The sequence below is a fragment of the Homo sapiens genome, chromosome 10, assembly GCF_000001405.40.
Source record: "Homo sapiens chromosome 10, GRCh38.p14 Primary Assembly".
NCBI lineage: Eukaryota > Metazoa > Chordata > Mammalia > Primates > Hominidae > Homo > Homo sapiens.
This window is the reverse complement of record NC_000010.11, coordinates 59,872,154-59,885,403: the sequence shown is the minus strand read 5'-3', so window position 1 is coordinate 59,885,403 and position 13,250 is coordinate 59,872,154. Positions and strand designations below refer to the sequence as shown.

General features: G+C 41.1%; 1 protein-coding gene across 1 annotated transcript in view, besides 4 other annotated features; it reads left to right on the top strand.

Annotated features, from left to right (window-relative positions):
• Window positions 1-13,250, top strand: part of CCDC6 (coiled-coil domain containing 6) — a 117,810-nt gene that overhangs the window by 21,153 nt on the left and 83,407 nt on the right. The gene's annotated exons all lie outside the window — the stretch shown is intronic.
• Window positions 3,941-4,090: an enhancer, noted in NCBI's record as "active region_3390". NCBI's record gives its function as "activates an Ori minimal core promoter by ATAC-STARR-seq in GM12878 lymphoblastoid cells {active_cell/tissue: GM12878}" and the evidence as "EXISTENCE:reporter gene assay evidence [ECO:0000049][PMID:35858748]".
• Window positions 4,321-4,370: an enhancer, noted in NCBI's record as "active region_3389". NCBI's record gives its function as "activates an Ori minimal core promoter by ATAC-STARR-seq in GM12878 lymphoblastoid cells {active_cell/tissue: GM12878}" and the evidence as "EXISTENCE:reporter gene assay evidence [ECO:0000049][PMID:35858748]".
• Window positions 9,169-9,218: an enhancer, noted in NCBI's record as "active region_3388". NCBI's record gives its function as "activates an Ori minimal core promoter by ATAC-STARR-seq in GM12878 lymphoblastoid cells {active_cell/tissue: GM12878}" and the evidence as "EXISTENCE:reporter gene assay evidence [ECO:0000049][PMID:35858748]".
• Window positions 12,119-12,413: an enhancer, noted in NCBI's record as "tiled region #3861; HepG2 Activating DNase matched - State 23:Low". NCBI's record gives its function as "activates a minimal TATA promoter and a strong SV40 promoter by Sharpr-MPRA in HepG2 cells {active_cell/tissue: HepG2}" and the evidence as "EXISTENCE:reporter gene assay evidence [ECO:0000049][PMID:27701403]".

Here is a 13,250-nt window from a genome sequence, read left to right as displayed (position 1 = left end):
GAACTTTCTTTAGTTGAATAAATTTGACCTGCAAAAATGGTACTTTAATCCATTCTCTTACAGTTTTTCATTAGGATGTGTTTTTGCCAACAGCCTTGGTGTTTTAAAATCTAGATGTGGCAAAATAATTTACTGCTTGTTAAGCAAACCTCCTGACATGGCTGGGGTATTGAAAAAAGAATGAAGATGGAAGTATTGTAGATATAACAAATGTATCCAAACTAGATTTCGCTCTTCCTTTCCCTGATTCACACGTATTCTCTGTCCTTTCTTTCCTTTTCTCCTTTTCTTTTCTTCCTTCCTTCCTTCCTTTCTTTCCTTTCTTTCTGTTGTTGTTGTTGTTACGGAGTCTCGCTCTGTCACCCAGGCTGGAGTGCGGTGGCACGATCTCAACTCACTGCAACCTCTGTCTCCCGGGTTCAAGCAGTTCTCCTTCCTCAGCCTCCCAAGCAGCTGGGACTACAGGCGTGTGTCACCATGCCTGGCTAATTTTTGTATTTTTAGTAGAGATGGGGTTTCACCATGTTGGCCAGGCTGGTCTCAAATTCCTGACTTCAAGTGATCTGCCCGCCTCGGCCTCCCAAAGTGCTGGGATTATAGGCATGACCCACTGCACCGGGCCACCTTATGCCCTAAGTGTTTTTCTGGATACATATTATGCAAATACAAGTGTGTGCCTATATTGTCCTCTTAAAAGGATACCCAGCGATGGGAGCACATTGTACATGCTGTTCTATATCTTGATTTTTTTTTTCTACTTTACACATCTCATGAGTTTTATCCCCAGCACTGGGTATAGAATTGCCCCATTCTTTTCAAGGGCTTGCTGTAAAGTATTCTGGGAACTGGGCGCACTCTCTTTAACTCTTCCTCTGTTGATTGTTTTCAGTCTCCTTCTTTCTATAAAGCAAGTTAAAGGAAACATTCTTTTAACAATGTTTTTAACAAGTCTTAGCAATGGTTTTTATTATCTGTAGGATAATCTAGGAGTAGAGTTGCCAGTTTTTAGAGTATGTGCTTTTGAAATTTTGTTTGTATTCACTTGGGCAGCAGTAAGTCATCTTTTGCTTATTGTCGTCGCTGTCTCGACCTGAAATCCTTTCTTTTTATATTCTTGCCTTCTTTTTTTGGTCCTGTAGCAGGGAACATCTTATTTTTTTGTTTGTTTTGAAGGGGTTGCTTTTACTTAGAACAAATTGCCATGTTACTTACCTTTATTTTTTTCCTGAAACTTAGTCAACTTTCTTAACATTAAACTCCTCTTTTGCTTAATTGGCTTAGAAGTAAGTGAGAGAACAGAGATAATATGGCTTTTAGTACCAAATGCTTCTCTTAGTAAGAATCTACAGATTGGTTGATGTTAGGAGTTTAAAACTGTTTTTGGAGCCCATTAAAGACATGTCTCCTGTTTGTATGGGTCACTCTCTCAAGTCACATAAGAAGGTGGTGGTCTTTGTAAAAATGCTAGAAAATGTTGGGAAATTTGTTCAAAGTTTGAGGCTTTCTGTCAAACTTGAGGGTTTTGAACTCTGACAACAATACATTAAACTTTATCCAGTTTATACTGCATACAGAGTTTCTTAAAGCAGGCTCTACCCTGATCACCATCAGTATATGTGATAGGGATCTTAGCCCTCTGTTCTCAAATATAGTTTAGGGAGTTTTAGAGGAAAGTGTGTTTCCTCATTAAATAATCAGTTGAGTTGACTCCAATTTGTGTACGTGAAACCAACAAAAAGAATATAAACTTTTAATATTATGGTCCAGTTGGATAGGATTTATAATTTTGAGTAACCTTCCAGTAAAACTTTGTGATTCATTAAGTTTTTCCCTGTCATCAGCCTGTGCTGACATAAGTTCAGCTGATAGAATTGAAAAGAGCAAAGAGAAGAAAAAGTCTAGACTTCTAAATACAGTGCGAGAGGGAGATGATGGCTGCCATGAATGGTATTAGCATTGCTTCTTGTATCAAGTGTGACAGTTGGCTCATCAGGGACATCGGAGTACGTCTTAGTTTTTGATTCTGCAATACCTTTGCAAGGTATTGATACCATCATTTCACTTGGAGGTCATAAAAGGGAGAGTTTATTTCCTTTCCTTGTTCCCTGTCCCATAGCTTCCAGTATCACATTTCACTCATTGCTATACTTTAGTCCTTTTCGTAACTGACAGTGTTGTCTGCTTATTGCAAAGACACATGGTATTTAACTCAAAGACTAAGACTCAGAGTCCATTGATGGAACAGAGACTGGAGAGACCACAGTGGGCAATGGACCCAGTTGATAGGACCCTTCCAAGTCCCTGGGACTCACTGTGTTTCGGGGGTACGAATATATCATTTTTTTCTTTTTCCTACTGAATTAAACCTTTTTTTTTCAGTTAAAGTCGATCAATACGGTAAACACCCTTACACCCCTCACCTAATTTTACTAATTTTTTTTTTTGAGGCAGAGTCTTGCTCTGTCGCCCAGGCTGGAGTGCAGTGGCGCGATCTCTGCTCACTGCAACCTCCGCCTCCCGGGTTCAAGCGATTCTCCTGCCTCAGCCTGCTGAGTAGCTGGGATTACAGGTGCGCGCCACCACGCCCGGCTAATTTTTTGTGTTTTTACTAGAGGCGGGGTTTCACTGTGTTACCCAGAATGGTCTCGATCTCCTAACCTCATAATCCGCCTGCCTCGGCCTCCCAAACTGTTGGGATTACAGGCGTGAGCCACTGCTCCTGGCCAGTTTCACTAATGTTTAAGGTTACCACTTCCATGTCACCACTTCTCCCTGGCTTTCCTTCTCCCGCCGGCTTTCCTTTCCTTCTCCCCGCGGCTTTCCTTTCCTTCTCCCCGCGGCTTTCCTTTCCTTCTCCCCGCGGCTTTCCTTTCCTTCTCCCCCTGGCTTTCCTTTCCTTCTCCCCCCGGCTTTCCTTTCCTTCTCCCCCTGGCTTTCCTTTCCTTCTCCCGCCGGCTTTCCTTTCCTTCTCCCCCTGGCTTTCCTTTCCTTCTCCCCCTGGCTTTCCTTTCCTTCTCCCCGCGGCTTTCCTTTCCTTCTCCCCGCGGCTTTCCTTTCCTTCTCCCGCCGGCTTTCCTTTCCTTCTCCCCCCGGCTTTCCTTTCCATTCTCCCGCCGAGCATTACCTTTCCATTCATCCCCCCGGCTTTACCTTTCCTTACTACCCCGGACTTTCCTTTCCTTACTCCCCGCGGCTTTACCTTTCCTTCTCCCCCCGGCATTTCATATTCCTTCATCCCGCCGGCTTTCCTTTCCTTCTCCCCGCGGCTTTCCTTTCCTTCTCCCCCCGGCTTTCCTTTCCTTCTCCCCCCGGCTTTCCTTTCCTTCTCCCCGCGGCTTTCCTTTCCTTCTCCCCCTGGCTTTCCTTTCCTTCTCCCCGCGGCTTTCCTTTCCTTCTCCCCAGCTTTCCTTCTCCCTCCCTCTCCTTCCCTCTCTGTTTCTGTTCCCTTTTGCCCAACCATCTGAAAGCAGGTTTTGGATACAAGAGCACTTCATTCCTAAGTATTCGTAAGTATTCAGTGTGCCCCTCCCAGGGACAGGAACGTGGAGTGAGGATATTTTTGAGGTTACGTCTACCCTATCACACATTGTCCCCTTCATGGGGACTCTCACAAGAAAATTGTTTTCTTTGGTCTTAATACCAAGTAGAGCTCCTCAGTTTTGGGGCAACAAAAACTGCTTAGGCAGCCAGGATGTTCAGCGAAGTTTTCAAAATGCATACTACCTGTTGATCAGCATGTGTGTAATTTCAACTTTTGGCTTCATTTGAATATTGGACTTTTTTTCTCCTCTGGCCATCCATGCCTCCTCTCCCTTTAAAATCTTACACATTTATGCAAGAACCCCCCAGTGAATTTTAGAATGAATTCATGTATTAAAAATTAGCCCAAAATGAATCTGAAATTTTAGTAGGCCCTCAGCTGATCCCTAAGAGAGGAAAGGGGCATAATTGTCTCACCTCGTTATGCCCCTTCTGGGACACCAAGATAAAGAAGGTGGAATTTCCCCCATGTGAAGCCCCAACAGTTTCTTTTTTTCTTATGAATGTGCTGCCGGGATGTTCATCTTAAAACCATTCTGAAGTCTTACAGGACACATCACACTCTGGCTCACACCCACTTCTCGGGGATTGCCCTGGACCTCTCATTCTCTGGGCTGGGGTGACTGTCAGTATCAGGGGCCCAGGAACAGTGGTGAGTGGTAGGAAGTGGTGACATCTGTGATAATACAGTGAAAACAGTAGACAAGATATTGGTTGAAGATGGCTATTATGGTGGAAGATGTGGATTTAGTCAGAAGGCACATGGCTGAGGAGACTGTTGGGACCTGCTGGGCGGGGCTGAAGGGCTTTGGTTGGGGAAGGAGGAGATAAAGGGAGTGCAGCAGGGGGTCGGGCAGACAACGCTCTGCTCTGCCAGATTATAGAAAGGTAGTCATCTCTGATCATGTCAGAACTGATCGTTCCTTCCTGAGTTGCACAGAGGTGGCACTGGGCAGAGACTGGATAGCAGGACATCAGTGGTTTGAACCACCATCCTCTGTGCACCAGGCTAAATACAAGCAGTAACTCACATAACTCTCAAAAGGAGCCTGTGAGTATAAGAGTTATCCTCATTTACAGATGGAAGATGTGTCTCAGAGAGGTTAAGGAACTGGCCTAAATAGTGGACATATGCCACTTTCAGAGCCTCAGTTAAGTGGAGGCTGCTCTGTGACATGCTACCACTTTATCTTTTCCTTTTAAAAACTTTTTTTGGAGTATAACTTATACACATATGGTAAGTGTACATTTTGATTCATTTTCACAGATTGAAGGCACATGTGTAACTTGCACCCAGATCACGAAACAGAATATTACTAATACCTGGACTCCACTGTGCCCCCTTCCGGCCATTATCCCTCCAAGGGTAGCCACTATGTGGAGTTTGAACTCTGCTTAACTGGAATTAGACAGTGTGTACTTTTTAAGTGTTTAATGTCTTTCTCCCAGCATTATGTCTGTGGGATTTATCTATATTGTTGGTCTCTTCCCGTCTGAGATTGGGTCTTAGAACCTAGAGTGTCCAGAAAAACCATTTGTTACTATAGGGCAAAACCATTTGTTACTATAGGGCTGTAAAGTCCCCTGAGTGTACAGTTGGTATTTTCAGAACTTGTAAAATTGGAAAATGTGGTCCTCTCGGTGTCATCGTGGTCTGCCATGCTTTGAGCATTAGAAGAAAAAGCTACCTGGTTTTCAGAGTTCTTGGTATAGAGGATTCTCTGTATATTAAGAAGGAAATGTCTTCGGTATTTTTTAAAGAATGGATTAAAAATATTGATGCACTCAGAGCCTCTGCCAGAGACATTTTCTCTTATAGATGTAGCATGCTTCTATGCAATAGCTAGGATCCTGAAAAGTTTATTTGCAGATGAAGTTAAATTCGGTTTTATCAAAATGTAAATGTATGAGGGAGCCTGATGGTGAAAGAAAAGGGAAATTGGTAAAATGATGAATCATTTGTGCCCTCAAAGACCTCTAGGCACATATTGAACAAGCTTGGGTTTATCGTTCATTGCATTGAGGGGAAAACACATTAAAGAGCAGAAAGGGGTGTTAGAAAGAACCTATTGGAAACTTGGGGCTTTGGTTGAGTAATATTGGGAAGGGTTGATGGAAGCAGGGAAGCAAAGGTTCTTTTTAGATTGGGTGTTTTCAGAAAGTGGGAGCGATTCTGTGATTGGGTATCTCAGTACCTTTAGGGAAGGCAGATTAGAGCCAGGCTACAGCTGTAATTAGTAAAGAAGTAGTGGTTACTCAATTTTGCCGAGATGGGATATGTTTGTATTTTGTGGGTTTCACAGTGATCTTGTTTTGTCTCACTTTGTCATCGTCTCAGAGTGACCTTGTTTGGTGTAGATGTTTAATGAGATTGCTTGTGTCCTTCCTACAGTAGAATGATGTGAGTTAGCTGTGTCAGATTAGTTTGTAATAATGAGGTCTGGCTGTGAGCATCTGATTAACTCCTGGATACTTATTTGTTTCTCAAGAAAAATTTCTAGACTCTTATTTTTCATAAATCTATAGTTTATAATATGGGTGTTCTTAAAATGGGATTGAACTTCAGTAACTTCTTATTCTTTAAGATACTAAGTAAGTGTTCTGAACAGGAAGTATATTTAGAACATTACCCTTTAGATCCTTGTTTTCAGGTTTCTTAAGTGACTGGGGTTGCCTTGTGTGGACTGCTTTTGAAGGTTTTAGGTAATCCTTGTCAAGTCATGTGGACCTTTGGCAATTGCGTAATCACACTTGACCCTTCACTCCTTACCTGTTGAATGAGGATGATCATAATAGTGACCCAAATTTCTTAATGGTCCCTTGTGAAATAATTGTTGGATCTCTCAGTGAGATGATAACTGCTAATTTATACGGTACCTGCTTCTCAAATGGATTTGAGGTGGCCAAGAAGATATCCCTTCCCTCCAAGCACACAAACTGCATCTTTTCCTTTCCTTTCCCTTATGGCTTGGCCTAAATGAATAGTCATAATTGTTAAATAATTCCTTGCCTATGAAAAAAAATTTTCTGAAAGGGGGCTCTTCATCCAAAAAAACTTCATTGGGATGCCCCATGGAGGCACTGAAATCTCTCATTATGACTCTTTTTAAGGCAGGGTGTGAGTAGAAGACTTGATACTTTGGCAAGCTGAATGTTATGATTGGTTGTGAAGGGGTAGGGGTTTGTGTGTCACATTCTGGGTCACCTTAGACTCCTGAATCTTTTCACATGGATTGGGATGTGACTTGACCAGAACATACTTTTCTAATTTTCTTGTCTAACAGGGCATTGAACCTTCTGATTTCTGGCACCCCTGTTTTGCTACATAGCCTTATCCGTAAACTGCAGCTGTGAATTCCTTCTCATTTGGTTTCATGGGATAGATTGTGAAACTGGCTGATATAAATGGCGAGTTTTCCCTTGCAGTATCCAGCCTGACAGTATTCAAGAAAGGAAAGGGAAGGAAGGTGAAGAGGAGTGCTTGGATAAATGGAATCAAAACTCAGACCAATTCAAGTAGATGAAATAAACAAGGGGGGAGCTGGAAATGCAGACATTTTGCTGTCAAGTGTAGGGCTTCTTGTGCATATTTGTAATAATGAGGTCTGGCTATGAGCATCCAATTAACTCCTGGATACTTATTTGTTTCTCAAGAAAAATTTCTAAACTCTTGTTTTTCATAAATCTATAGTTTATAATATGGGTGTTCTTAAAATAGGATTGAACTTTAGTAACTTCTTATTCCTTAAGATACTAAGGAACTGAGGTACTGTCTAATTTTGTCTAAACACAGTATATGGCCATTTATTCCATTGAAATGCTTTGAAATGGCATCTAAATTCCATAGATACCCGAACTTAGTTGTGTACCCTCTTAACACTTTCAAGTATTTTTGAAAACACTTTTACAGGATTTACAGGTTTTTAGTATTTTCTCTGGTGCTTTGCTCTTGCCATTGTGAAGATTTTTAAAATTTTACTTTCTCATTGTATTTGGAAGTGATTTTGTTTTGTGTTTTTGTTGTTGTTGCTTGGCTCTGGTTACCCTGATGAACAATTATTGGTTGGTTTTCTTGCACATTGTAGGTGGATGTCTGGAGTGACAGTTTTGTGTCTTTTCCTTTCTGGCATCTCTTAATCTCTTACCACAGAATGGGGTCATACTCACATTTAACTTAACATATTCTGTTGTGTATGCCTACTAAACAGAAGAGAGGGATAATTTAGACAGTGCTGGCTCCTCCACTGTCTCTCTTGCTCCACAAACATTTGTAGGCCCTGAGTCAGTCTCCTTCCCTCAGATGGCCACATCAGTTTCCATGACCTGGTGCGGGTTTCCACTGGTGCAGATTTTTTTTATAGAAATGTTTTCCCTGACCCTACCCCAGCTGTATCGTAATCAAAGAGAACCTGACTTTCTGCCATTTCGCATTTACATCCTAACCTTGGAACCTAGCCCTAACAGAAGAACCACCTCCATTTATTTTCTTTCTATTTCCTGCATTAGCTAGGATGTTCTGTACTACGTTGAGTCATATTGATGATCGCAGACATCCTACTCTTGTTTCAAACTTTACAGGAGTGATTCTGGTGCTTTATTAAATACGTTATCTGAGGAAAGCTCTTAGTAGATGCCTAGATGGAGGATGTTTGTTTTGCCATCGTGAATGAGCAGAATTTTGTCAAATGTTTTGCATCTGCTGAGATGATTATGCACTGCGTAATGGCATTTAAGTCTGCGATGGACTGTGTGTAAGACAGTCGTCCCTTAAGATTAAAATATTATATTTTTACTGTACCTTTTCTATGTTTAGATACATAAATACTAATCTTATGTTACAATTGCCTGCAGTATTCAGTATAATAACGTGCTGTACAGGCCTCGGAGCAATAGGCCATACCACATAGCCTAGGTGTGTAGTAGGCTATACCATCTGGGTTTATGTAAGTATACTTTGATGTTCACACAATGATGAAATCACCTAACAATGCATGTCTCATAACATAACCTGTCATTAACCAACACATGACTGTATTCAAAAAATCTCAATGTAATGAAATACAATTGTCTAATGTTGAATTATCCACTTACTGCTGAGATAAACTCTGCCAGCTTGTAATTTTTTTTAATTTTAATACATTGCTGTGCTCATGCTGCTAATATTTTATTCAAGAGTTCTGTATATGTGCTGTGTAAAAGTGGCCTTTGGGTTTTTTGCTAGGACAGTTTGGAAGCAGGGCTACTTTTGGATAGCTTTTTTTTTTTTTTTTTTTTCCCCCTTAACAGGTGTAGTTTATATAACACGGCAGCTATCTTTATCTTAAAAGTTTGGTGGACCTTGCCTAGTTAAGGGAAAAAAAAGTCACACCTGGGCCTGGTATCCTTTCTGGGTAAGGGAGCCTTTTCAAAAATGTTAGAAACTTTTACGGTGACAGAATGGTGACGGCAAATAATCTATTTAGTGAGGCAGCTGGGCATGTAATGCATCAGTGATTTTTAAAAAAATGATATGTGAGGCTGGGTGCGGTGGCTCACACCTGTGATCCCAGCACTGTGGGAGGCCAAGGCGGGTGGATCGCCTGAGGTCAGGAGTTCGAGACTAGCCTGGCCAACATGGAGAAACCCCGTCTCTACTAAAAATACAAAAACTAGCCGGGCATGGTAGTGCATGCCTTTAATACCAGCTACTAGGGAAGCTGAGGCAGGAGAATCACTTGAACCTGGGAGGCAGAGGTTGCAGTGAGCCTGGATGATAGAACGAGACTCGATCTGAAAAAAAAAAAAAAAAAAGACATCTGTGCATGCACTCGTGTATGTGTGTAGGCTTGTTGGCCATGTGCTTGGCATTGCGAATTTATTAAGATTTTTTTAACAACCGTTATTTTTTTTGGGATTGCAGAATTTAGTATTTTGATAGGAGTATATAGTCTCAGGTTAATGTCCAAATAGCAATTTCCTTTGCATAATATCATGAAACACATTCAGAATGTCATGTGGCAGGCTTGGGCTGGGCAGAGCTTTTGTCTTCGTTAGTTTACCTAGTTAACTTGCTTTGTAGGTCTTAAACATCAAATTGCATACAGAGGTCTCTGTCTTAATGTGATGCATGTGTTCCTGAAAACCTTTGCATTCTCCAGAATCACACACTAAAAATATTAGGGTTGATGGAAGAATAGCATCGGCGCAGACCACTAACTCAAACTTTGCCATGTTGTAACTAGAGAATTAAACAGTTTTTGGTTCCTTAGGAGGTACAACTTGGACTTGTGATGTAGTTTTCAACAGATCAGCAACTTTAAGATGAACTGCTAGTGCTTGAGGTGCCAACTGTATGCAGGACTCAGCATTCACAGATAGAAACATAAAAAAGGTCTTTGTCCTTGAAGCTCACCTGGACAAGAACCTTTGAACTTCTGTGTCCTTCAAACCTTCTTTTTCCTCTGGTGTTCAGAAAGACTTCACCTCTCCCAAATCTTTCCTGGTTCAGTCACTGAGTACCCTGTAACAGCCACCCTAGATGAGCAGATCTCTACCAGACTTTAAATATATTTTAGTGATGATAAATAACTATTTTTTGGACAAAATTTGGAAAACAGGTTCATTATATAGATAATAGGTCATCAGTGCCATCCCTCACAACCACCTCTATTCTGGTTTATGTGCTTCTAGTCATTTCTAACATATCTGAGGGTTGGTGTGAACCTTTAAAGCAAAATTTGGGTCATGTTGTGGTTCCCACCATGTTTTTTCCCAACTGAACACGTATCATGACAATTTTCACTTGTTCTTAATCATGGCAACATATTATTTCATTGTCAGGATACACCGTCATTTATTAGTGCCTATATTGGTTTCCTGTTGCTGCTGTAACAAATTATTACAAATGTAGTGGCCTGAAGTAACATAGATTTATCATCTCATAGTTGTATAGGTTAGAAGTCCAATATGGGTCTCACTGGGCTAAAATCAGAGTGTGACAGGGCTGCAGTTTTTCTGGAAGTCCCAGAGGAGAGTCCATTTTCTTGCCTCTCCAACTTCTAGAGGCTACCTGCATCTCATGGCCCCTTCCTCATCCTCAAACCCAGCAATGGCAAGTCAAGTCATCATTAGGCATCACTCTGATCTCTTCTCTGCCTCCATTTTCCATTTTAAAGGACCTCTGTGATTATACGGGTCCCATTCAGAGAACCCAAGATAATTTCCTTATTTTAAAGTCAGTTGATGGGCAACCTTAATTCTATCTGTTCCCTTAATTCCCCTTTGCATGTAAGTAACATTTTCATAGGTTCTGGGGATTCAAATGTAGACAGCTTGAGGCAAAGTTTGCAGGAGGGAGCATTCTGCCTTCACTGGCAGAATAGGAGTATTGTTAGTGAATTGGTTGTTTGCATTGGTATGGATGGCATTTCTGTGAATATCTTTGTATATTGATCTCTGTATATCTTTGGTTAATCCATGAACCACCTTTCTGTAAACGGAGGATTTCAATGTGATAATTTTAATATGTTTGATAAAAATGATAAAATTACAGAAACTCTAGTCTTGGTTGGATAGGAGAACAAAAGGCAAGTTTAGTGCCAAAGAAAACATTTTAGAACTGGGAGAAGATCAATTTGTGCCTTTGTTACATTCCTGTTAGAGTGTAAGGTCCTGTCTCATTATAGTTTTATTATATTCCCTGTGCCTTCTGGCATATGGAATCTATGTAGGGGTGTGTGCGTGTGTGTGTGTGTGTGTGTGTGTGTTTGCTAGGTAAATGTGTAAGGAAATGAATGTCTACGCTTCGGACATGCTTCACCATTCTTTCACTTCGTTTTCTTTCAGTATTAGATGTCATAGATCTTCACTGACCATGGTTGATTTTGCAGCATTTGGGATTTTGACAGCTGTATTGTGTCTAAATGTGCTACTGCCTCAACATCATAGGAATGGGGAACATTCATTCTCATATAGAAGATTTAAGATGTACTTGGATTGTTTTAACTATTCTGTTTTGATAATTTTAAAAGCTACATATGTGTTCTCTGTCCTTCTTTTTTTTTAAAAATTAGCAGTCTATTACAAAATCATCACAAATTTAGGTAAATACCATTGTCAGAAACCAAGATTGAAAAACCTGCATTTACTTTGAAATATTCAGAATAAAGTGGCATATTAAAATACTAAATATTAAAATATAGCTCCACAGTCTCTTATCCCATGAGGCCAGATATGTTTTAGAATTTAGGTTTTTTTGGTGGTGGGAGTTGGGTCTGTTTGTTTCCCAAGGCTGTTGTAACAATGTTTCACAGACTGAGTGGCATAAAACAATAGAAATTAATTTTCTCACAGTTCTGGAGGGGCCAGAAGTCCAAAATCAAGGTGTTGGTAAGGGTTGTTCTCCCTTGGAAACCTCTGGCCGGGGAAGATCCTTCTGTGATTCTTCTAGTTTCTAGTATCTCCAGGCGTTCCTTGGCTTGCAGCTGCAGCACTTCAGTTCCTGCCTCTGAAGTCATGTGGTCATCTTCTCCTTGTATGTTTCTGTCTGTATTTTCCCTTCTTATAAGGACAGCAGTCGTATTGGATTGGGGCCCACTCCAGTGATCTCATCTTAGCTTGATTACATCTGCAAAGAACCTATTTCCAAATAAGGTCACATTCACAAGTATGTGGGGTTAGGAATTGAACATATCTTTTTCAAGGACACAGTCCATCCCATAAAAGGGAGTGGAGCTATGGAAAGGTACTGAGCACCTACCACGTATACTGTAGCACCGCCAGAGGATTGAAACAGCAGACACATCAAACCACCTCAGCAAAACATGTGAACAGGCATGCTAAGTTTGATGATAAAGCTGCAAAGAGCCTCATGTCAATTCAGATCAGGCTTGCCACCAAGTGAACGCAGTTGTTTGGTTGCTTGCCAAATGTAGCTTTCGGTTTTCAGTCTTCTGGGTTTTGGAATTGTGTTTAAAGGATCGAGGACCTGTGCTAGATTTTCACCTTAATTCCTAATGACAGCTTAGCAATATTTCTTAGAAGTTCTAGCAGGGAAGAGTTACTGCTTATGCACTTTCTAATGTTGTTACCTTCCCCCACCCCCCCATCTGGAAAGTTATCCTCTTTGACTGGATGCAGCCCCAGGTATCAAGGTGGTGAGATGTAGTTTGACCATGAAATCCTTGTGTCCAACTAGAATAGAAACTTGATGCTGAAAGTTAACCCCTTGCTAGAGGTTAAACCTTCCGTCCCTCTTTACTCACTGAAAACTAGAAAATGTTCATACATCAATAACCTCCAACTCACAAAGCCAGCCTTATAGTTAAAGCAGTGTGTCTTTTACTTCTTCGGAGGAATTGGCTTCCATAGAAAGTCAGTTCAGAAGCCCAACCCCTGGACACCTTCGCACGAGCAAGGAGACAAGGAACAGGATGTAAATTGGCTACCATTTTCTTACCTGCAACAGCACAGGAAACAGACACAGCTTTGTAGCTGCAAATGTAGGCAGCTGTTTGCTTAAGTCTCCGTATCTTAACTGAATACTGATACCCAAGGTTGGGGAATCTGCTGGAAGAAACATCCAGCTAGCACAGCCTCAGACTGTTCAAGCATGTTCATTGTAACGATTCTTCAAAGGGCAGAAGCATTGGAAACAACTGGAAGGAATGTCAGGCAGTAGAGAGATGGTTTTGGCACATCAGTGAGATAGGTTGTTTACAACATCAAAAATT